The following is a 24,585-nucleotide window of genomic DNA, read 5'->3' as shown; positions in this document are numbered from 1 at the left end:
GGAGACAATATTGAGTGGTTCTAGAAAGAGCGTAGGCTTAAAGCATTACAGACCTGTTTTTCATTTCTTGATCTGTCATTTTACTGGTTGTGTTAGAATTGAATAAAGTTTAAGAAAAATCATCTGGGCCTTCTTGCTGCGTGAACTTGGGTGTGTGACTTAGCTTCTTTCAATCTATTTTCTTATCTGTCAAATGGAGAGAGTACCACCTTGGTCCTCAGATTTGGAGGCGAGTATTAAAAGTGATAGATGCTATGTGTGAAATGGTAGTACAGGTCTCAACAAACATTTGTTACCTTAAGTGCCACTTTTTCTGCCACCTCCAAGCCTGGGCCTTTGGTTATTTCTAGGACAGGAAACCTCCATTCTTCATCACTAGCTCTTCAAATCCACCACAGTTTTGACAAGATAATGACCATAGTGCCATCAAGGTCTAGTGAAAGCTTTCACTATAATTTTAGAAGAGAAAAAATATATATATAATTTAAACCGTAGGACTATTTCTTATCAAACCATATCTCCTCGAAACATATTAATACTATTAACAGTAAGAGAACAATGAACCAAATCTCCTGGTTTTCCAGAAGAACAAAGACCCTTATCTAAAATGTAAGTTTTATGTCATCAAATTGATGGTCAATTTAAGACTAGGCTGACCAGCCAGACTATAATTAAGTGAACAGAAAAGAAAGATGTCTTCTGAATGTAAGTTCTCAGTATCCTAATCAACTTATTCCATGACTATAAATAACCAAATCCTCTATCACTGCCAGGGGAAGCAGGAGGATGGTGGGACAGTGTGAATGGAGGCTTCATTGAGTATTTTAGGATAATTAGCAAAGTAAAGAGGGCCACTAATTGTTTCAAGTCTAAAACTACCTAAAAGCAGAGTGATTTCTACAATGCATCTGGGTCTGTCTTCATTTGGAGATGCAAAAACTGTATTTCCAAATGTACCTAAGAAGCAGAAAAATCCCTAGTCTCCTAGTCTCCTACTAATAGGCTACTATCTGATTTCACATGAGATGTGCATATCATATAAAATCATACAGCTTGAGGCCAGGTGCTGTGGCTTACGCATGTAATCCTAGCACTTTGGGAAGCCAAGGCAGGGAGATCACTTGAGGTCAGGAGTTCAAGACCAGCCTAGCCAACATGGCAAAACTTCATCTCTACTAAAAATACAAAAATAAGCCAGGCGTGGTGGTGCACGCCTGTAGTCCCAACTACTCAGGAGGCTGAGGCAGGAGAATCACCTGAACCTGGGAGGCAGAGGTTGCAGTGAGCTGAGACCATGCCATATTACTTCAGCCTGGGTGACCTTGTCTTCAGAGTGATACCTTGTCTCAGAACAAACAAACAAAAAAAATTGTACAGCTTTAAATAATTATTTTCACAATTCAAAATAGAACATTCTTCATAACAATCCTTATTCTTTGTCAGGAACATAAACCCATGCCTAGGTTGGTGTCTTCTTGGAAGCTCTCTGGAGGGTCCTGTTCTTCAATCTAGTTGGAGATCTATGCAGTTGTTTGTCTGTATCTGATGTTTAGCAGACCCACTGCCAGGGATTGATTGATCTGAGGTATCTCATAAGCTAGATTTTTAAAAATCTTCCCAAATGGGTCTGTTGCTCAGCCAAGGTTAAGAACCACTGGATAGGAGGACAAGCATGTTAATAATTGATAGCAGAATCAATACAAAAATCATAAACATACAGAAGTATATGTGTCTATGCATAGAAAAAAGATTGAAAGAATAAATAAAACACATTAGCAGCAGTTTTCTCTGGGGGTGGAATTACAGGGTTTTGGTTTGGTTTGGTTTGGTTTTGGTTTTGTGTTTTTGAGACAGGGCCCTGCTCTGTTGCCCAGGCTGGATAATATTTTCTTTATTTTCCATATTCTAAAAAGTTTCTTCTCTGAGCCTCAATTACTTTTGAAATCAGAAAAAGAGCAATTCCTATTTGATCCTAATAAAAGTAAAGAAGTATTTCATGAATGTCTGTTGTGTCTTCAACCCTGTATGTACAGTGGAGGATACAAAAGACAGGAGACATGGCCTTAGGAAGTTTGCAGTCTAGTAAAACAGGCTCAACCAACATCCATGCAACTCTCTGTGTCAATATGTAATAAAACCCTAAGGTCCCAGCACTAAGCAAGTATAGACATATTGGACTTGTTTGCCTGTCTGCTTTATTTCTGTGTTGGATTGCTAACTGGTATAGAGTCATAGGAGCACCAAGCCTGGTGCCTTACATTTAGTAGACTTTAGTAATCACTTCAGTATTTGTGGAATAAATAAATGCATTGAGAGGGGAGAGATCACTATGAAGCATCAGTGGAGAAAGTGAGATGAGAGGCAGGCCTTAGGAAAAAAGAGTAGGATTTGTTTGAGTGGTGGCCACTCCAGGTGGGAAGCCAGATTGGACAAAGACCTGTGGTAGAGATGGGTTTGATGTGAAGAGGGACAGTTTGTCAATGTGTCTGACTGCAAGAAGCCTTGTCTAGCCCAAGAAGCCTCGTCTGCCAAACAAAAAGAACTGAGCAGAGTTGGGTGTGGTGGCTCTCGCTGGTAGTCTAGCTAGTTGGGAGATCGAGATGGAAGGATTGCTTGTGCCTAGAAATTCAAGACCAGCCTGGGCAACATAGTCTCTACAAAAAAATTAATGAAAAAGTTAGCCAGGTGTGGTGGTATACACCTGTAGTCCTAGCTACTCAGGAGGCTGAGGAGGGAGGATCCCTTGAGCCCAGGAGTTTGAGGCTGTGGTAAGCTATGATGATGCCACTGCACTCCAGCCTGGGGTCAGAGGAATCCAGCAGAGCAGTAACCAAAGAGTAAGCCTGGCCCAAGGGTGATAGAAGAAGAAGAGCTTTCAGTTATCCAATAAATATTTTAATATAATAGCATTTCCTGCAAACAGGAAAAGCATCCCCTCCTTTCCCCCTTCGTTTGCATAACACAATTTTTGGGAATATGTTTTATAGAAGGAGTAAGGTTGTTTCTTTTAAATATATTGGGAGGGAAGAGGAAGCTCATTTAGCAAATACAGAAACTGGCTGGAAAAATAGGATTTTTGTTTCATGTAAAAATATTTGGTATGAGGAACCAGCTATCTTTGCATGACACGTTTCCAAACCCCGAGCAAGGAAGAACACAATTTTCCACTGAGTGTCATGCAGCATATCCAGGAGGGCCTGTGACACCCAGCCCAGAAGGGGCTTGGGCAAACTCGGAGATATCTTGGTTATTCTGAGAATGCGATGGAATGCACTTTGAGGAACGGAGGAAATGTTTTCAAATGTCTGGGAATGATTTTCACCTTCCCCCACACCTCCATCTCGATATCAAGCTCTGACAACCTCTGCAGAGCCCCTGGGGTTGCATAGACTTCACAAAAACACGAGGACTCAAAAAGAGCTCATCACAGGCAGCTGAAAACCCAGGCTGCTTTCAAAACTGATCAGAAAACCTCACTAGGCAGTCAGTTCTGACTTCTAGAAACCCTCACCACCATGAAACCCACCCTTTCCAGTTATTCTAAAAACACTTCCTAGTCAGTCCTGAAATAGAAAGCACCGTTGATCCATAGCCCAGTTTCCCAAAAACCAAAAGCTAGACTTTGGTTGTCTCCAAGTGTTTTAAAAGTAAATAGAATAATTTGGGGTTTTTTTGTTTGTTTTTGAGACAATCTCGAACCATTGCCCAGGCTGGAGTGCAGTGGTACGATCTTGGCTCACTGCAGCCTCCACCTCCCGGGTTCAAGTGATTCTCCTGCCTCAGCCTCCCAAGTAGCTGGGATTACAGGCACTCACCACCACACCCAACTAATTTTTGTATTTTTAGTAGAGATGGGGTTTTGCCATGTTGGCCAGGCTGGTCTCCCACTCCTGACTTCAAGTGATCCACCCACCTTAGCCTCCCAAAGTGTTGGGATTACAGGCATGAGCCTCCATGCCCAGCCAAAAGTAAACAGAATAATTTTGAACCAAGAATTGCAGGGACCAAAAGTTAACCAAAAAGAACCTGACCCCCACCCCATCACATCACATACACACTTGAATGCATGGACAGATAACAGAAAACTCAAATCATCTGTCGCATGGAAATTGCCTGCTCCCCCTCCCCAAAGTATGGAGGAAATGAACTCGGTGACCCCAAAGATGCCAGAGACTCACAGAATGAACAAACGATTCTGGCGTCTCTGAAGAATTGACCTGGCATGTGGACTGTGCCCAAGCCCTCGACCATCCCTCATTAACTACTGTCAACTCCACATCTGGTTGTGGCTTTGGAATTCTGAGTTGTCACTCCAGGGAGCAGCACTGGTATTTATCAGGCACTCCAGGCTATCAGCTCAGGTCTTCTTAAACTAAACAATGGAATCAGTTCTTTCAGTCCCTGGGAAGCCCTGCAACTGCATAAGGTTTGGACCCGCAGGGGTTGCTGTGAGAGGCTGTGCCTTCAGCAGCAGTTTGGGGGTGACATTCTGGACACCCATCTTAGTACCAGATGAGCGCACACTGGGAGGTACCTGAAACCACAAAGCTCCTCCAAAACTAGCTTCTGTTTCTACTAAACGTGGGGACAGAACATCCACAAAGGAAAAAGATGCAGTGTATGTCATGGTTATGAGCATTCACAACTCTTGACTTAAATTCTGTCTCTGTCACTTATAGGGTGAGCACCAGCACATCGGTTTGCCTTGGACTGACCAGTTTTTAAACCAAAAATCCCACGTCTCAAGAATCCAGTCAGTCCTGGGCAATCTGAGATGGTTGGTCACCCTATATGCAAACTGCGCAAACCTGCGCAAGTGAATCTTTGTATTAAGTTCCCGCATTTGCAAACTGGGGATAATAATCCTGCCCATCTCATGAGGTTGTTGTGAAGATTAAATGAATAAAGGGTAGAGTGCTCAGAATAGCCTGACGCCTGTTAAGGAGTGTGTGTGTGTGCATGTGCGCGCATGTGTGTGTGTGTCAGATACCTTGACAGACACAGGGCTTAAATCAACAAGATCTCAGACAGAGCTACTCTTTCAGCTCTTTTGCTTTAATGTTTTGTCAGCTTGGATAAATTACTTAACCTCTTTGAGCCTCATTTTCCCCATCTATAAGATGGGCCTAATACAACCAGTGGGGGGAAGTTTTCATAAAATAAGTCCTGGTACCATGCCTTGTGATTAAAAAAAAAAAAAAAAAACACTGAACAAAACTGAACAAATGATAGCTCAGGTGGTTACTGTTATGACTGCTGTTATTAACAGGAGAGAAAGGGTACCTCCCCACCCAGTGGGAGATGGGTAAGTTGGCCTCCTGTTTCCCACCTCAAATGCTATGTGTTTAGACCATGAATATGAATATATGAGTGCCTGGACTAAGGTGCTTTCTCTAGAAAAGGATGAAATAAATCACCTGGAGGTGCCCGCACACTTAGACAAGATCCTTTTAGGCCTCTGCTTCTACGATGCTTGCTGCCTGTGTTTGGAGCTAATTATTTTTGGAGAGGAAGAGGGGCAGTGAGACAGCCAGCCTGGGCATGTGGGGACCACCACAACCACCTCCCCCATGCACTGACCTATGAGGCATGCAGCAATGATAAATGGCCCTGATGACAAAGCAGGACAGAGGCCTGGCAGTGTGATGCTCACCACTCCTGCCTGTCAACTCCAGGCTGAAGATGCCAACCCCGTTATGACAGACTCACTTGCCAGCCTGTGCCATTTGTATTCCTCATGGCAGTTACTCAGTAGCTGGCATTTATAGGTCTATAAAGAATATAAGGTTATGAAAAACCTGCTTCTAATTTTCCATGCTTTTCCCTACGTCCCATGTTACAGTTGCCCCCCAAATAATCAGCCACCAGGGTGCATGGCCTATTAACAGTCCTGAGGTGCACACTTCAATTAAAGTTCTCTCTGCCTTCAGTTTAAATCCTAGCCCTTCCACTTACCAGCTGTGTGACTTTTGGAAAGTTCTTAATCTTTCTGTGCCTTAATTTCTAATTAGTAAAGTGGGAGTATAATAGGACCCTCCTCATAGGGATGATATGAGGATTGAATGGGTTAATAGGAAGCATGTAAAACAGTATGTGGTCTCTGGTGAGGGCACTGTAAGTGTTGGCTGTAATTATGTTACTATTAATTTGTGAGTTGAGATTTGAAGGATAAAAAGATGCAGCCACAGATTCTTACAGACACTAACTCTGTAAACCGATAGGAAAAACATCGGCATTAAAGGAGAGTCATTAACATTAAGTGGAAGAATGTCCACTTCTTCCCTGCCTCCCTCTCACCCTGAAATTGGAACTGTGCAGAGACTAGCCAGTGTGTCTCATGCCTGTTCAGCACTAGGTGATCCATGCCATAGGAACATGTCAGCATCTTTGGTAAACCAAGTCAGTGTGCTTGCTTAGGTTGGGATTGGACCATTTGTCACCTGAGCAGACTCTACCTTGAAGGCACATCACGCCTCTCCTGGCCGCACCCTGACAAGCCAAGACAGATTCCAGGTGCCCATGATGGTGGCCTGCATTTTCACATGACTTTCCAGCTTGTTTTGAATTTTTCCTGTCTGGTGTTCATTAACAAGTGAAACAGTGGTGGTTGGAAGGACTAGGGACATTTTCCCAGCAGTTTGGAGGCAGAAGAAAGGGGCTAATGAGGGGAAGCCGTGTGTGGTTGGTGGTAAATGATGTCAGAAATCCACCTGTCCTCTGGGGCGAGGGCCATTCAGCCTCAAGTTCATACTCGGATCTACACTGAATACCAGATGGTGGACTTGCCCAGCTGATGACCTCTTTTACTTCTCAACTGATATTCAGTTCACCTCTGACTACGCAAAAATGCTCATAACTTTTTTCCATGTGCAGTTTCTGGTAGCTATGTGAGCAGCCATGTAATTCAGTGCCAGGCAACATGGGTTTTAACTTAGAAGGGGAGAAAAAGTAATCCAAACAAGGAAGAATGTCTTTACCTAATGTCTTTAGGCCAAAGAGCTATTATTTAAGAAGATGCAGGTATGGTGAGTTGAGGTGACACGTAGAACGTAATTATCCAAACTGAACTCGGAAAGTTCTTTACAGGAGGTCTGTGCTGAGGACCAGGATGCCTGAGGACTAGAGGAATTCTATGAATAGAAGTTGTATTATTGTTACTTGAGTGTCCTCCAAGTAGCATGATCAGGACTCAATTAGCAGGGATAGGACCTATTTGAGGGTGGGCTCAGGGAGTGCAAGTGGAACTGTTTTGGAAGGCGCTGACTGATGCATTTATTTTTATCTCACACAATAAAGATTTCTAGTGCTTTTCACTAAAGGAGTCATGAAATAATTAGTTATCATATATTTAAACTATATATCTGCTTTCTTTCAAAAAAAAAGATCAAGGTGGCCCATAACTATTAAAACATATCTAGGCTAACACAATCAAAAGCATAAACAGACTCTAATGAAAGGAGCAAGAAAACAATTAGCTGCTTTTAGAATCTCTCAGGCTCCTTTAACACCCCCAACCACCCCCACCCTGCCAGACCCTGTCCGCCAGTGCTCTTTGCAGAGTGCTGAGGATTCAGTGGCGAGCAAGAAAAGCAGGACGTTTACTCCCATGGAAGCTATCTATATTCTGCTGGGAGAAAACAAACCAGCAATATAATTTCCAAAGAGTGTGACTGGCAGGCAGGGGCAGCAGTTCACTTTGGATTGATGGTCAGGGAGTCTCTGCAAGGAGCTGACTGCGAGCCCTCTGTTGTCAACTTCATTCCTTCTGAAACCTCCTCCCCTCTCCTGTCTTGGCATCAGACTTGGCAATGCCCACTTGTCTCTTACCCCCACGGGCATGGTTTAGGATTACTGAACCCCAGAAGTAGGTAGATGGACTGGCCATCAGGTATCCTGGGTTTATCCCCAGCACTGCCACCAACATGTTGCTCCTCTTGGATCTCACTTCAGGTCTGTTCTTTCCTCATTGGTGTCACATAGGACAAAACCTGCCCAGAATCTACCATTCCTGGCACCTGCCATGCACCTGCATCCTTGGAGCTTTTGAATATACCACTCATACTTAGTCTGCTAGACCAATGTCACTCATTTTTCTAGACTCAGCTCAGATTTCATCTCTTCTAAGAAGCCTTCTCCAATTACCCCAAGCAGAATCAGTAGCCCCTTCCTCTGAGCTCTCCTGACACTTAGCTCTTACCTCCCTCTCTGTCTCTCTGATAATGTGGCATGGAGGTTTTTCTGTTTTCATGAACCAAGTGCATACATTGTCGTTTTCTTTGCATCCACAGTGTCTAACATTATGCCTTGATGTTAGACAATAATTATGCTAGTTACTGATTACTGAGTTACTATATATTCCAGGTACTGTTTGGCATTTTGCGTGATTCTTTTTTTAAAAGAGATAGATAGGGTGTTGCTCTGTTGCCCAGGCTGGAGTGCAGTAGCCCAGTCATGGCCTACTGCAGGCTTGAACTTCTGGGCTCAAGCAGTCCTCCTGCCTCCGCCTCCTGAGTAGCTGACACTACAAGCATGCACCATCATGCCCAGCTAATTTTTTAAATTTTTTTGTAGAATATGGGTCCTGCTACGGGTCTCTAACTCCTGGCTTCAAGTGATCTTTCCACCCCAGCCTATCAAAGCTCTAGGATTATAAGCATGAGCCACCACACTCGGCCTTTTGTGCGAATCTTTAAACCTCATGGTAAATAAACACTGTGCCCATTTTATGTATGAGAAACAAGGCTCAGAGGAATTAAGACACTTGTCCAAAGTTGCAGAGCCAGTAGAGTTGCCTTCTTAGGAGACCCTTCCATAAGGCAGATCTGGGATTCACATCCAGATTCTTTAGAAGTGAAAGCATGTGCTTTTTCCTCCGTGCTGTGCCATCTTTCTTAGAAGACCCTCCCATGAGTGTTTATTGAAAAATGTATTTCAATATTATGATTAAAAACCCACTGTAGCAGCATAACCCATCAAAGAAAGGTTATGGTCATTACCCTTCAGTTTTATTACATGCATAATGCTTCTTAAACTCAAAGCAAATAAAATCATATCAAAATTACCAGGGAAATACATGAAAAAAAGATCAGTTTCTTAAGTCGGTCTTCTTGTCATTTTTTTTTTGGTGGGGTGGGGGCCTTAAATTGAAGTGCAGGGAAATGGAAAGGGAACTCATGAGCTTGCTAGGAGAAAGGAGAGACTAGCATTGGTATCACAATCGACCACAAGTAATTATGCATTATCAGGGTGGTGTGAGTGAATCCCACAATTCCCAATGCTGTAATTTCAATCAACGGAATACCAAAAGGGTGACAGTTGCTCAGATCAATTCAAGAAATGTTTACTGTATAGCTCTGTGGCCACAACTTGCCCGCAGCTAACCAGCTAGCCAAGGCAGAGCTGATGTGTCTTGACTGGCGGCCTTAAGTGATGTGGGACTCCATGAGCCAACACTTCTCTGGCACTAATGTGAGGAAGCCATCTCAGTCCTGGAGAGAGAGCTCCTACATATTCAAAGTTTGGTTCTACTGGTGTAATTGTGGAACTAGACTTTTCTCCCCCAACCAGTTAATTCCCATCTCTCTGTGAAATATCCTTGAGTCACAGTTTTCTGGTATAGAAAATATTGCTGCATTTGGATTTAGATTCATTAAATATGTTGTTTGGATGGGGTATTTAGGTTTTAAAATATTGTCCCTCAATTAAATATTTTTTAAAATTAAAATGTTTAGCCTAATTTGTCAGTTAAATGTTCTCTTGAGGTCAATAACCCAAAACTCATTAAACATATAGTTCCATGCCTTGTTCATGGTTCAGGTCCCTTAGCTTGAAAAGTCTGAGTACAGAGATGGTATGGTGTTTACACTGAGATGCTATAGTCCAAGGGGGGTACTTTCCCTGGGCAGAAACACAGATGGCCTGAGTCATCTGATTAGTGTAGATAGCCAATTTAGATAATTCACCCCTGATATGGTTTGACTGTCCTCACCCAAATCTTGTGTTGAATTGTAGCTCCCCTAATTCCCACATGTTGTGGGAGGGACCCGGTTGGAGATCCATGAATCATGGGGGCAGTTCCCCCATACTGTTCTCATGGTAGTGAATAAGTCTCACAAGATCTGATGGTTTTATAAAGGAGAGTTCCCCACACAAGCCCTCTTGCCTGCCGCCATATGAGACGTCACTTTGCTCCTCCTCATCTTCTGCCATGATTGTGAGGCCTCCCCAGCCAGGTGGGACTGTGTGTCCATGAAACCTCTTTTTCTTTATAAATTACCCAGTCTTGGGTATGTCTTTATTGGCAGTGTAAAAATGGACTAATACAACCCCATGCTCTTTCATTAGCAAAAGTCGTTCTTTCATTTAAAAGTCATACACTGAGCACCTTCTATATGCCAGTCATTGTCTTTGGCACTGGAGATAAAACAATTAACAAAGCAGAACCTTAATCCCTGCCCTTTGGAACTTGCATTCCATAGACAGAAAATAAGCAGGGGTAGGATGTGCCAGAAAAGAAGCCGCTGTTTAAATCAGGTGGTCAGAGAAGAGGGATTTTAATCAGAGGCCTGAAGGAGATGCAGGAACAAACTGGATGGGAATCTGGGGAAGGCATATCTGAGGCAGCAGGGGCAGCAGCAAAGTGCAGAGGCCCTGAAGAAGTAGGAACATGGTGGGCAAGTTTGAGGACTAGCAGGAGGGCTGTATGAGCAAGGGATGGAGAGGAAGTCAGAAGTCACAACAGACAGAAAATATAGGGCCGTATAGATCGTTGTAAGGACCTTATGCTTTAGTAAAGTGGAGAGCCATTATGAAAAGATCACTGTGGCTGCTCTGTTGAGAATAGATGGGCAGACAACACAAGTATGGAAGCAAGACTCCTCTTGGGAGACTGTTGGGATAATCCAGGCACTGATGATGGTGGCTTGGACCAGTATGGTGGCAGTAGCCATGATGAAAAGTAGTTGGATTCTGAATATTTCATGTTGGATTGTATTTGGGGTATCCAGAGAAAGAAAGAAATCAAGGATGAATCTGAGATTTTTGGCCTGAATGACAGATAAGGAGCTATTTAGTAACACAGGAACATGTGGGAAGAGCTGGTTTGGCAGGGAGGATGAAAGTGTTAAGTTTGAGCTGCCCATTAGACTTCTAAGTGATGACATGGAATGGGCAGTTTGATATGAGTCTAGGGATCAGGGAAGCCATATAAGGGGAGAAAGCATGGAACCCACAGCCTGGCTTCAGAGTCTAGCTCCACCTCTGAACTCGGACAAGGCATTTCTCCCTTCTACTGTCCATATCTTCATCTGTGAAGTGAGGTGGTATAACTAATAGGACAAGTGGGAGGCTTAAATGAGACCACATCCATAAAGCATAATACATTAAAAAAGATCAATAGATATGAGCTGTCTTCTGCCAGACTGCCTTCTGGGCTGCCATAGATTTGTAGGCAAGAGACCGTGATCGATAATATGGATCAGGGAAGGCCTGGAAGCGATGGGAACATTTCCCTGGGCGGTTTTTGAGTTAAAAAAAAAAATTGTTGGTATGGTTAAGATGCAGTGGGGTAGAGGATGGAGGGCTAGACCAGGGGCAGAGGGATAGGCCAGGGTTGGTTGCAAAGCCATGGAGATGTGGTGTCAGGAGGACCAGCTCCAGGGTTTGGCCGTGGAGATGGAGTTGGGGGCTGAGCACACATTACTGAGGCCCAAACTCACCCGAGTGCTCAGGGAGAGCCCATTTCAGTCTCCCAGTGACCATCTCCTTCCTGACAGCACAGTCTCCCAGCCTGGCCCCAGGAACCCCACCTCAAGCAAAGTTTCAGAATCACTCATCCCATTCAGTAGAGCAGCTAATACCTAAAACCCAGCTGCTGGCAAGGAGACTTACTTCCCTACAGAGTCCCCTAATCTTGATTCTCGCTGCCTGAAAGAAAGAATACATAAATTAGGACTGAGTGTCTCCCTTTCTCATTAAATAATAGCTATGGGCCAGCCATTAGTGCTCTCATGGGTGAAAGAAATACAGTTGAAAAATTAGTCTCATTTTTGGACTTGGATCAGAAATGGGGCCAGGGCAAATAATCATAGGAAAGCCCTCTTTAGGGGTCATCTCCCCTCTGCATGCACACACACACACACACACACACACACACACAAACACTGGGTAGGGAGGAAGACTGGAGAAAGAGGAAAGGGTAGTGTTGCATTCTAGAGGACTGAGAAAGAAAAATGGGTCTGATCTACTTGTGTTGGCAGTTTTTTTTAATTACCAGAGATTAGAATGTGCCATCTCTGGAGCTAGAGCTGGCTTGCAGATGTGTTTTGTTTGGACCACACAGTGTTTTTAAGATTTTCGAATCTTAAAATCTTGCTACCATCTAAAAAATCAAGAGATTTTACATTGAAAAACTTCCAAATTTCTCCAGGGACACTGGGCCAGCCTTTTTAACAGGGAAGGGTGGAGCAGCCACTGTGTCCTTAAGTCAAGCAGCACTGCTCACCATGGTCCCCAATGGCCTTCCTTCCCTCATTCTCTCACCTGACGAGCATATGAATTTGCAAGCTCTTGTTTGAAGTCAGATCAGACTGGACAATTAATGAACCCAAAGTGAGAGTTGACTCAATGTTTGCTAATGCAACAGTGAACCAAGAGAAAGAATTTACAGAAAGTTGGAGAGATCAAAGGGAGGTCGTATGGCTGGATGATGTTGGTGAGTATTGAGGTTCACTTTGTGAACAACTCTTATTCTATTATAAGTGGGTAAGTTCAGCATCAGAAAGGAGCTCTTCATGGGAACCCAGATCACGCTGCCCTGTTGGGTGACCTTTGCAGAGGATACCCTATCAGAACGTCTGTGAATCACATCTGAGTTCCCTCCTGTGTCTCGTCTCCAACTCTCATTAGCAGTGAACTCAGAAGTTTTGCAGGAAGGAGATTCATTTTCTTTCCTTATCCCCCCTCCAACCCCAAAAGAGACAAAAATTCTGGCATTGAGTATTAACATTCTTATATTAAGACAGATTTACCTCTACTCACTTTGATAAAAGAGCTCAGGATCTCCCAAGAAAACTGATTTTTCAGAGTTGCTCATTTGAATGGACAGCACCTCCAAAGCTTGTGCTTTGGTTGAAAAGGGGTTTTCTGTGTTCCTTGTATTCATCCTTCAAGTTCATGGCCATCACCCATCACCATCTGAGAGTACTTAGTGCTCAGAGTAACTGAAAGGAAGCATAAATCCTCCTTGCTTTGAACACAACCCAGGGTTTACCGTATGTTCTTGTCCTGGCCAATGCTAATCAGCTCTTCCCCGCTTCTTCCATCTTTAATGCTTGTAAATCAAGCTGCCCCAGTATTAGTCACCACAAAAGAGATAATTAGTAAGTACAAGCTGCTACCTTCATAGATCACTCTGTCTCTGGCTCAAGCTAAGCCAAGAGACTGGAGAAAGCTAACATTACACAGTATGAGTTGCATTAGCAGAACCTTTATTACACAAAGCACGTGAGTCTGAATACTTAAATCAAGAATCTGCACCCTCCCCAGCTGTTGTAAGAACAGCTGTGATATGAGACCAAAGGAAAGGCTACTTACCTACCTTATGAGGTTTTCCTTTCCTGGACTCAAAAACTTATCTTTAGAACCCCAAGAATTTGAAAGTGCAATGGTTTCTTAATGGCATAATCTTGGGATTCAGATATTTTTAAAATACTGTAACCCCCATTGATGGGGCAGCAGAGAAAGGTGCCAGTTTCTTTTACTAGGACATGCTGTGTCCTCCCAACAAAGCCATGGCTTGTACCTTTGCCAGCCATTTGTCCAGCTGGAAAATAACGTTACTATTCTGGCAGGGCACATGGTCAAGAGCATTGCTGCCTCCTCAGAAAAGACCATTTCCAGACCAGCTAGGAACTTCCTTTCCATGCACTGCTAATCAGATACTACCAGCCTGCCTGGAAGTGTTTCATTCAAGTATTTGTTACGTTGGAGCCGCTCAAATGCAAGTTGGCTTTTATTTTTTCCATCACACAGTGTTTCACCAATTTTTGAGTTTCCCAGATCAACCTCTTCACTATGTTTAAACAGAATGATTCCAAGCCAACGCAGCTAATCGGTACAGTAAAACCTCACGAATTCAAGCCAGGAATTTGAACTCTTCCAGCTGAGGACAAGCACTAGCAGTGTAAGTTGGAGGCCTGTTTTCTCATCTAGAAGATGAGGACATAAGGTTGTATAACCAAACTCCTTTTCTACTAATATTAAAACCACATTTCATCTAATCTAAGATGCCACTGACTATGAGAGGTATGTTCATATAACAGCAAAGAAGATGACATTTTAAAATGTGCCATCAGTTAAATAATCCCCAAACACCAAAGATATCCCCATGATGCATAGATTGGTGAACTAGACTCTTGTGGCTTTGAAATCCATTCAGATGAATTTGGCAGCTTCTCCTGCCCTTGGTTGTGTTGCTTGGCATGAAATAGGCAATCCTTTTTGAATGTTCTCAATAACAAAATGTAACACCACTTTTAATTCCCTTGGGTGCATCTTTCTAAGCAGATAAAACATTTGCTTGTCCCTTTGCAAGAAAACACAGAATTGTGATTCTGCTTCTAACAATGAATATGTACTTCATCAATATCCAATTGTTCTGTTTTTGAGGCTTTCTATAACTTTTCATTTTAGTACTGAATCATTACATTCAAATGGCAATTAAACTCAATGGTGTAATACCAAGTATGTAGGCAACTCAATGGAAGTGATAAGGGGTACTCGTGCGACTGGGTTTGCAGTGCTGGGATGGTGACGTCTGCATCATGACTGCCACCTGGCAACAGAAACTTCACAACCCCATCAATCACACATGCATCCTGATTTTAGACATGTTAAAGCATGAAAAGAGCATCTTAGGATGTACAAAATATGGAAATAGCGACAATCTCATGAGAACTGCTTGTAGTCATGTAGATACCATGACGACTTTAATGAATTTGCATTCTAGTACTTTTGGCAAAAAGTACTAAACCCCTGATAAGACTTAATGTCGATCAAACCTCACAGCAATCCAGAAAGTATATGCAAATTTGGAAGTTTAGCCAGGTAAATAAAATTTCCCTAGATCACCCAGCTATGTAAATTTCAGAGCAAGGATTTAGATCTAGACAATAGGACCTTCCATCTTGCCATTTCTATGATTCTATGGGCAGTAAAAATCATGTGTGCATATCACGGTAGACTGACCTTTGATTTCATCTACTTTCAAAAACATGAAGCATCCCTGAAGTAGGATCTCAAAGGGCTATTTAAAATAGCTCAATCATATAGGGTTTTGAGTAATGAATTGATAAGAATTTATAATTAACACATCCATTATATGCAAATGGACACTTCCTAAAGGGGCTCGTGATATGATTTCTGCCTTCACAACTGTGGAAACTGGAGTGGTTACCTGTAGCTACCCTCCCCACAGTAGAGTGAGATAGTTAAATCACCATTTCCTGACCAAAACCTAGCCTGTGCGCTGCAATGACTTGCCGAGTGGCAGTGTTCATGTTCATGGCAAAATATGGACCTAGATCAGCTCCAACCTTGGTCTTCTGAGCCTCGAGAATGTTCTTTTTCAACTTCTTTCTATTGCACCAATAACTTGCTTTTCTCACAAAGTTTGGTTTTTGTGGAGTTTTCTGGATTTTTTTTTATAGCATGGATAGTGAATGGGTAGAGACAAATATGTTTTTGCTAAAAACCACAAAAGCTGTTTTACTCTCTTAATGGTAGACAACATGGCAATGAATGACACTTCTCAGATCATGGGAGCCCCCAACACCAGGGAGGCCCTCCCAGACCAGCCCAGAGAAAGAGAATGGAAGCCACCAAGCTGCCACTAGAGGATAGCAATGCTGAACTCACTCCTGTGGCTTTGTGGTGAGGGTGATTCTGTTTGCATGAACAGTTAAATATGGAATCTGGGAGGAGCTTTATATTTACGTTCAGTGCTCTGGGAACAAAATCCAAAAGAAGAGTGAGGGTGTGACTAAGGGCTTTCATGGTCAAAATAAACACCAGCAAGCAGGAATTACCAAATAGTTGAACATTGCCAGCCTCAAACCCTACTCATGTAGACACCATGGTGACCTGAATAAATTTGCATTCCAGCAGCCAATGTAGAGATTGCTTTAAGAGAATGCAGTGGGCGTCTTTAAAAAATCTCAAATTATGAATTCACTTGGTTGGCAAATGTATATTGAGTACCGATGTGTGAAAAGGGAAGAGAGGATATAGCGGCAGGCAAATCAAATTCCAAGTTCAACAAGCCTATTATACATTCTTCAATTGTATTTGAAGAGGGCTGACTGAGGAATGGCAGCAGAGCCAAAGCTCTTCTTCACCTCCCCGCTGGTTCTGTTACAGCTGTAAAGGTGCCTCCCACTACGGCCTGACCAAAGATAGGAAGAGGCGCTCACAAGATGGCTGTCCAGACGGCTGTGCGAGCCTCACAGCCACGGCTCCCTCCCCAGAGGTTTCTGCAGCTGCCACCATCTCCTTAATGACAGACGAGCCTGGCCTAGACAACCCTGCCTACGTGTCCTCGGCAGAGGACGGGCAGCCAGCAATCAGCCCAGTGGACTCTGGCCGGAGCAACCGAACTAGGGGTGAGTCAAATGGGTGGTTGTCCGGGAATGGGCTCCTTGGCTTGCGATTGCCCTCTGTGGAATACTTACTGTGGAAAGTTCTGTAAATGTTTTTTAAGGGGAAATCGTTCTGGTAGTTTTGGCAGGAACCCAATGTCCAATTCGCCAAAGTGAAATGAAACCGCAAGTACCTCCAATCATTAAAACTGTGTGTAATCTGACTTGGTGAAAGGGGCTGAAACTAGACCTAATGATTCATCACTCCTGCAGTGTCAGTAATTTTTCAGCCATGCTGCTCAAGAAAAGTGGTATTGTATTCAGTTCAGCCCAGAAACAAAAAAGAAAAGCAGGATTTTAAGCACGTCGTACATATTTCACTGTAGAAAACTTAAAAAATACAGGTAAGCAAATTCTACAATCCTACCACCCAGAGGTAGTCACTGTTAATGTCTTATTGTGTATATCTTATCAGATATGTACATAAATGATTATTTCTATTAAATCATAACTACTGTTCCTCCTGTCGCTATTCCTCAGCACGGCCCTTTGAGAGATCCACTATTAGAAGCAGATCATTTAAAAAAATAAATCGAGCTTTGAGTGTTCTTCGAAGGACAAAGAGCGGGAGTGCAGTTGCCAACCATGCCGACCAGGGCAGGGAAAATTCTGAAAACACCACTGCCCCTGAAGGTAAATGAACTCCCCATAAGGCTGGATGGACATGGGCTGGGCTTCCAGGGGGACTTCAGGGATGACGCAATCTGATCACCTTCCACCTTCTGTGACCCCTCTCTTCCCAAGGGTATACAATATTTTTTACTTTGATTAGCCTACTTCTCACGTATGTAGCTAAAGGCAGAAAGTATTATCATCTTTTTACATAGATTGAAGAAAAAAGTGTTGAAACCCTCACCTTCAGGCGCTAGTACCATTATGCATATGAGGAAGAATAATTATAATTAATGAGTGAAAAACATTTAAAACAATGACTGGCACATATAATAAATGCAATATATATATTCGCTCTCCTTACTCTTTCAACTACATTTGAGGTGTGGTGCTGAGTGTTTTACATGCATTTCCTCATTTAAGCCTCACAACAACCCTATGAGGTAGCTACTATTATTCCTCTTTTTTTTTTTTTTTTTTTAGACAGAGTTTTGCTTGTCGCCCAGGCTGGAGTGCAACGGCGGCATGATCTCGGCTCACTGCAACCTCTGCCTCCTGGGTTCAAGCAATTCTCCTGTCTCAGCCTCCCAAGTAGGTGGGATTACAGGCACCCACAACCACAACCAGCTATTTTTTGTATTTTTTAGTAGAGACGGGGTTTCTCCATGTTGGTCATGCTAGTCTCGAACTCCTGAACTCAGGTGATCCACCCACCTCGGCCTCTCAAAGTGCTGGGATTACAGGCATGAGCCACCGCACCTGGCGCCACTCCTATTCCTGTTTTACAGATGAGGAAACTGTGGCACAGAGAGGTTACTTAGGTTGCTCAAATTACCTTGCTAAACTTTGAATCCAGGTAACATGGCTGTAGAATTCATGCAAAGGAAGCTATTGAGTCTTAGATCCCATATGTTTTCCCCAATATAAGTGGAGCTGAGGAAATACTGTCCTACTGTCTTTGCATTTTATGTTAGAACTTTAGAGTAGTAGTAACAGCTTTTTTAAAAAATTGAGCTCTTTCTGCATGCACATAGTGTTTTAAGTCATTTAGATGTGACAATAATGTTAAGGGGATAGGACTATCATTCCCATTTTACAGATGAGAAAACGGAGACCCAGAGGGATTAGGTAACTAGCCCAGTCACCCAGCTAAAAAATGGCAGAACCAAGATTTTAAATCAGGTCCTCTGGTTCCAGAGCCTACTCTCTTAGCTCCTGGGTTATACTGCCCTCTACTCTTGGGAGTTGGGAGGCAGAACCCAAACCACTGTATGTATTATGCCCTCAAAATTCATGAGCAGCCTTATCAGACCTTTTCTTGTATACTTATTCATGATTGCCTCTCACCCTGCACGTACATGCTGCATGCTCTAACAGCTCTCAGCTTATTACAGTCCTATAAATGCTGTATATCTTTCTTTCACCTCCCTTCCATTATCCAGCCTGCGCTCCCACTCTCCTTTCAGCTGGCATTCACGTTCCTTCTTCCAGATTTAGTGTAAGACTTTGCCTCCTCCTGGAAACCTCACTCCCTCAGCCCCCTTTTTAGGTGTTTTTGAAGCACCTGTATCAGCGATGATCATGTTTCATGTAACTGTACCTCAAAGTGCAGGGATTATTTTTCTGAATCTTTGTTCTTAAGGCCTAGCACAGTGTCTGGCACATAAGTGTCCACTAAATGTCTGTGCAATGGCTAAATGAAAAGATTAGAACTTCCTTTCCACCAGTCTCTTCCTCTTATTAAAGACTCTTCAATTCCACTCCATGTAAAGTTCTCTACTACTTGGGCCAGACGTGGTGGCTTACTCCTGTAATCCCAGCACTTTGGGAGGCTGAGGCAGCCATATCACCTGAGGGTGGGAGTTTGAGACCAGCCTGGCCAACACAGTGAAACCCCATCTCTACTAAAAATACAAAAATTAGCCAGGGCATGGTGGCGGGCACCTGTAATCCCAGCTACTTGGGAGGCTGAGGCGGGAGAATTGCTTGAACCTGGGAGGCAGAGGCTGCAGTGAGCTGAGATTGTGTCACTGCACTCCAGCCTGGGTGACTCCATCTCAAAAAAAAAAAAAGTTATCTTGAAAAAGATTTATTTGCATATTTATTACAAAAACATTTATAAAACAGATTATTATATGTAAGGCACCGGCCTAGGTGCTGTCATTTTATATAAAGAATATAAAATGTAGTTCTTGGCATCAAGGGGTTTATTCAAGACTAAAATATAATAAAATAAAAGCATACCTCATTTTTATTTTTACAAATTGAAAGCTTGTGGTCACCCTGTAGCCAACAAGTCTGTTTGCTCCATTTTTCCAAAAGCGTGTGCTCACTTCATGTCTCTGTGTCACATTTTGGTAATTCTTGCAGCATCTCAAACTTTTTCATTATTATATCTGTTATGGTGACATGTGATCAGTTATCTTTGGCGTTACTATTGTAATTGTTTTAGCGTGCCACGAGCCATGCCCTTATAGGTCAGTAAATTTAATAATTGTGTGTTCTGACTACTTCACTGGCCATTTCCCCATGTCTCTCTTCTTGGGCCTCCGTATTCCCTGATACATAACAGTATTGAAATTAAGCCAATTAGTAACCCTACAATAGCCTTTGAGTATTCAAGTGAAAGGAAGAGCCACATGTCTCTCACTTTAAATCAAAAACTAGAAATGAACCTTGGTAAGGAAGGCATATTGAAAGCTAAGGTAGGCTGAAAGCTAGGCCTCTCGTGCCAAACAGCCAAGTTATTAATGCAAAGGAAAAGTTCTTGAAGGGAATTAAAAGTGCTACTTCCAGTGAACACATGATTTACAAAGCGAAACAGCCTTATTGCTGATATGGAGAAAGTTTGAGTAACCTGGATAGAAAAACAAAACAGCCACAACATTCCCTTAAACCAAAGCCTAATCCAGAGGAAGGTCCTAACTTTCTTTGATTCTGTGAAGGCTGAGAGAGGTGAAGAAGCTAAAGGAGAAAAGTTGGAAGCTAGCAGAGATTGGTTCATGAGGTTTAAGGAAAGAAGCCATCTCCATAACATAAAAGTGCAAGGCAAAGCAGCAAATGCAGATTGTAGCGAAGCAGCAGATGCTGATTGTAACGAAGCAGCAAATGCTGATTGTAGAAGCTGCAGCAGGTTTTCCAGAAGATCTTGCTAAAATCATTGAAGGTGGCTCCACTAAGCAGATTTTCTTTTTTTTTTGAGACGGAGTCTCGCTCGCTCTGTAGCCCAGGTTGGAGTGCAGTGGCATGATCTCAGCTCACTGCAACCTCTGCCTCCTGGGTTCAAGTGATTCTCTTGTCTCAGCCTCCCAAGTAGCTGGGATTACAGGCGTGCACCACTATGCCTGGCTAATTTTTTGTATTTTTAGTAGAGACAGGGTTTCGCCATGTTGGCCAGGCTGATCTTGAACTCCTGACCGCAGGTCATCCGCCTGCCTCGGCCTCCCAAAGTGCTAGGATTACAGGTGTGAGCCACCGCACTCAGCCAACAGATTTTCAATGTAGATGATACAGCCTTATATTGGGAGAAGATGCCATCTAGGACTTTCTTAACTAGAGAGAAGTCAATGCCTGGCTTCAAAACTTCAAAGGACAGGCTGGCTCTCTTGTTCGGGGCTAATACAGCTGGTGATTTTAAGGTGGGGTCCAGTGCTCATTTATCATTTCAAAAATCCTAGGACCCTTAAGAATTATGCTAAATCTACTCTGCCTGTGCTTTCTCCATGGAACAACAAAGACTGGATGGCAGCACATCTTTTTACAGCATAGTTTACTCAATATTTTAAGCCCACTGTTGAGGCCTATTACTCAGAAAGAAAAGTTCCTTTCAAAATATTGCTACTCATTGATAATGCATCCTAGTTACCCAAGTACTTCGATGGAGACGCAAGAGTAATGATGTTTTCATGCCTGATAACACAATATCCATTCTGCAGCCCGTGGATCAAAGAGTAATTTCTACTTTTAAGTCTCATTATTTAAGAAATAAATTTCGAAAGGCTATAGCTGCCATACATAGTGATTCCTCTGATGGATCTGGGCAAGGAAAATTGAAAACCTTCTGGAAAGGATTCACCCTTCTACATGCCATTAAGAACATTAGTGATTCATGGGAGGAGGTCAAAATATCAACATTAACAGGAGTTTGGAGGAAGTTGATTTTAATTCTCAAGGATGACTTTGAGGGGTTCAAGACTTCAGTGGAGAAAAGTAACTATAGATGTGGTGGAAATAGCAAGAGAACTAGAATTAGAAGTGGAGCTTAAAGATATGACCAAATTCCGGGAGGCTGAGGCAGGAGAATGATGTGAACCTGGGAGGCGGAGCTTGCAGTGAGCCGAGATCGCACCACTGCACTCCAGCCTGGGCAACAGAGCAAGATTCCATCTAAAAAAAAAAAAAAAGATATGACCAAATTGTTGCAATCTCATAATAAAACTTGAATGAGTGTAGAGGCATTTCTTACGGATGAGCAAATAAAGTGGTTTCTTGAGATGGAAACTACTTCTGCTGAAGATGCTGTGAACATTGTTGAAACGACAACAAAGGATTGAGAATATTACATAAACATAGTTGATAAAACAGCAAGGTTAGTAGAGGATTGACTCTAATTTTGAAAGAAGTTCTACTGAAGTTTAAATGCTATCAAACAGCATTGCATTCTACAGAGAATCTGCATAAAAATCTTTCACGAGAGTCAGTTCATGTGGCAAACTTCATTGTTGTCTTATTTTAAGAAATTGCCAAGCCACTCCCAACCTTCAGCAACCACCACTGTGATCAGTCAGCAGCCATCAACATCAAGGCAAGACTCTCTACCAGCAAAAAGATTACAACAAGCTGAAGCCTCAGATGATCGTTAAACAGCATGTTTTAGCAATAAAGTATTTTTAAATTGAGATATGTACATTTTAAAAAACATGCTATTGTACACTTGATAGACTAGAGTACAGTGTAAACATAACTCTTATAACCACAGAGAAACCAAAAGACTCACTTTCTTATAGCAGTCTGGAACCAAACCCACAATATCTCAGAGGTATGCCTGTACTATGAAGAATGAAGTATAAATTAATGACCATAGCAGCCATAGGGGACAGTGTAATCCATGTGACTTGGATGGATGTTGGGATGCTGACTGTGTGTTGGAAAATGCATTCAAGTAGCTTAGCTCAATGCCAGCATATAGTAAACTCTCAGTTAATAATTATTATTATATCCTTTAGTCCTTGAGTGAGGACATAATATTGAACAAATCATTTTCTTTCCAGACCAATACAGAAGATGAGGTGAAGGTCAGATCATAGTGTGTCCTGATTATTATTTAGGAGTCTGTACTTGATTTGGGGGTAGTGAACACACCTGGGAGCTCTTGTATAGAGTTGTTGCAGGATTGGAGCCGTGTTTCCAGAAGACAGAGATAGCAGCCATGTTCAATGAGTAGGCGGGCTGGAGTGGGAGAGATTGGATTTCCTCAGACACACTAGGAAGCTGTAATTCCAGAATGGAGTGAGGTGTTAAGACTCAGCTAGCCTGGTATCAATGTCGTCACAGCATTTGTGAGGCAACAATGCTTTCAAAATGGCCAGAGGGCCTCATTGCTTCAGCAACCTACAGTTAGCTTCCTGGCATGGTTTATCCATCCTTTTAATGTCAGTAAAGGGACTGGCGCCACTGTTTATCAACTGTGTGACCCTGGCTGGGTTGCTTAATGCTCTAAGCTTCAGCATTTCTTCATCTGAAAAGACAGAGATGGGTCTGGGCATGGTGGCTTACACCGGTAATCCTAGCACTTGGAGGCCAAAGTGAGAGGATCTCTTGAGCCCAGGAGTTTGAGACCAGCCTGGGGAACATGGTGAGACTTTGTCTCTACAAAAAATGAAATTAGTGGGACATGGTGGCACACACCTGTACTCCCAGCTTCTTGGTCTGAGATGGGAGGATTGCCTGAGCCCATGAGGTCAAGGCTGCTTTGAGCCAAGATTGTACCACTATACTCCAGCCTGGGTGACAGAGTGAGATCCTGTCCCCCCACCCCCAAAAAAAAAAAAAAAAAAGATTATTATCATCTATTTCATAGGGTTATTGTGAAGACTAAACAAAAAAATGCATTCAAATACCTTAACTCAATGTCAGCATATAACAAACTCTCAGCTAATAAGATTATATCCTTTAGTCCTTGAGTAAGGACATAATATTGAGCAAATTTTTTACTTTCCAGACCAACACAAGTTTGGCAGTTTAAAAATTCCTTTATCTCTTTAAGGTCACTAGGATCTCATTGGTGTTGCTCTAACATCATTTACAAGTGTGAATGGTATGTCCTTTCAAGCTATCAAATCAAACATTCTCTAGCGGTTTAGGTTTGGCAGTGTGGTTTTTGTAAATCTGTTGGAAAAGATGGTAACAAGGGAAGGGGAATGAGGGAGGGAAAATTGGCTTTTGTGATTATTTCCAAATCTTTCTTTGCTCAGAATGAATTTTTTTCCATTCCCTTGTTATACCAGACATGTTCTAGCAATTGCCTGTGGTATAGCCTACTTAATATAACCAAAGTAGTTTAAACATTAATTGAACTCAATCACCCGAGTACTGTTAGTACCAGGAGCTGACTGCTGAAGCCAGCTTACCCCTGCCTTATGCAGTCACTTCAGTTCAATCAGTATAGAGATTAAGGACCCACATTTACAACATCTCGGGTTTCCTCTGCCCACTAAGTTACTTTGCCCTAACATACTTAGAAATAATTTTAATTCTTTATTGTTCTTAGAGAGTTGAGTACTTATTAATTCATTAGGGAAAATGGACTAAGGTCACGGGTTTTGAAAATGCTCACAAGGAACTAGAAGCAGGCCTGCCATGTGAGATCTTTCCAGATGCCATAACGAAAGGAGACTCTTAAGGTGAGGCAGCTGTCAGCACCTACGGAAGACAGAAGCATCTCAGCCCTTTACATTCAAACTTGAGCCTCTAGCTGCTTGGAGGAGCCCCTTTTTCCACCAAGCTAGGTGTGGCTTGTTCCCATCACTTGTTGGTGTCCCCTCTGAACACTTCTATTCAAACTGAAGTGAAAAAAAAAACAATGCCAGTCGGTGCTGCTGGCTCATAGGTCCATAGAGCAAGTCCCTCATGGGCTCTGGCCTGGCTGTGAACCCCTGGCTCCAGGGATACCTGACAGAGAGTACCGGTCACAAGAACTCTGGGTTCTGACCTGGCTCTCAGGACCACCTAACTTTGGGATGTCCAGTCAGTTACTTCACTCCCCTTCTCTCAGCCTTAA

The 24,585-nt window shown here is 42.7% G+C and overlaps 1 protein-coding gene and 1 long non-coding RNA gene across 6 annotated transcripts in view; one reads left to right on the top strand and one right to left on the bottom strand.

The window, feature by feature from the left end:
• LNX1 (ligand of numb-protein X 1) overlaps positions 1 to 24,585 on the top strand; it is a 193,177-nt gene that overhangs the window by 127,834 nt on the left and 40,758 nt on the right. For all 5 annotated transcript variants that reach the window (XM_005265785.6, NM_001126328.3, XM_024454262.2 and 2 more), the window contains 2 exons: positions 16,417 to 16,658; positions 17,175 to 17,327. In XM_005265785.6, the coding sequence (XP_005265842.1) occupies positions 16,417 to 16,658; positions 17,175 to 17,327 (395 nt within the window). The remainder of the gene's footprint in view (positions 1 to 16,416; positions 16,659 to 17,174; positions 17,328 to 24,585) is intronic.
• On the bottom strand, positions 1,370 to 24,567 carry LNX1-AS1 (LNX1 antisense RNA 1). Its single transcript, NR_046622.1, has 4 exons — positions 24,517 to 24,567; positions 24,142 to 24,227; positions 22,668 to 22,796; positions 1,370 to 1,654 (listed from the first exon to the last, which is right to left on the bottom strand). It is a non-coding gene; the product is annotated as an LNX1 antisense RNA 1 (long non-coding RNA).

The sequence above is a fragment of the Homo sapiens genome, chromosome 4, assembly GCF_000001405.40.
Source record: "Homo sapiens chromosome 4, GRCh38.p14 Primary Assembly".
Lineage (NCBI taxonomy): Eukaryota > Metazoa > Chordata > Mammalia > Primates > Hominidae > Homo > Homo sapiens.
Note: the sequence above shows the minus strand (reverse complement) of the source record. Positions and strands in the feature narration are given on the sequence as shown.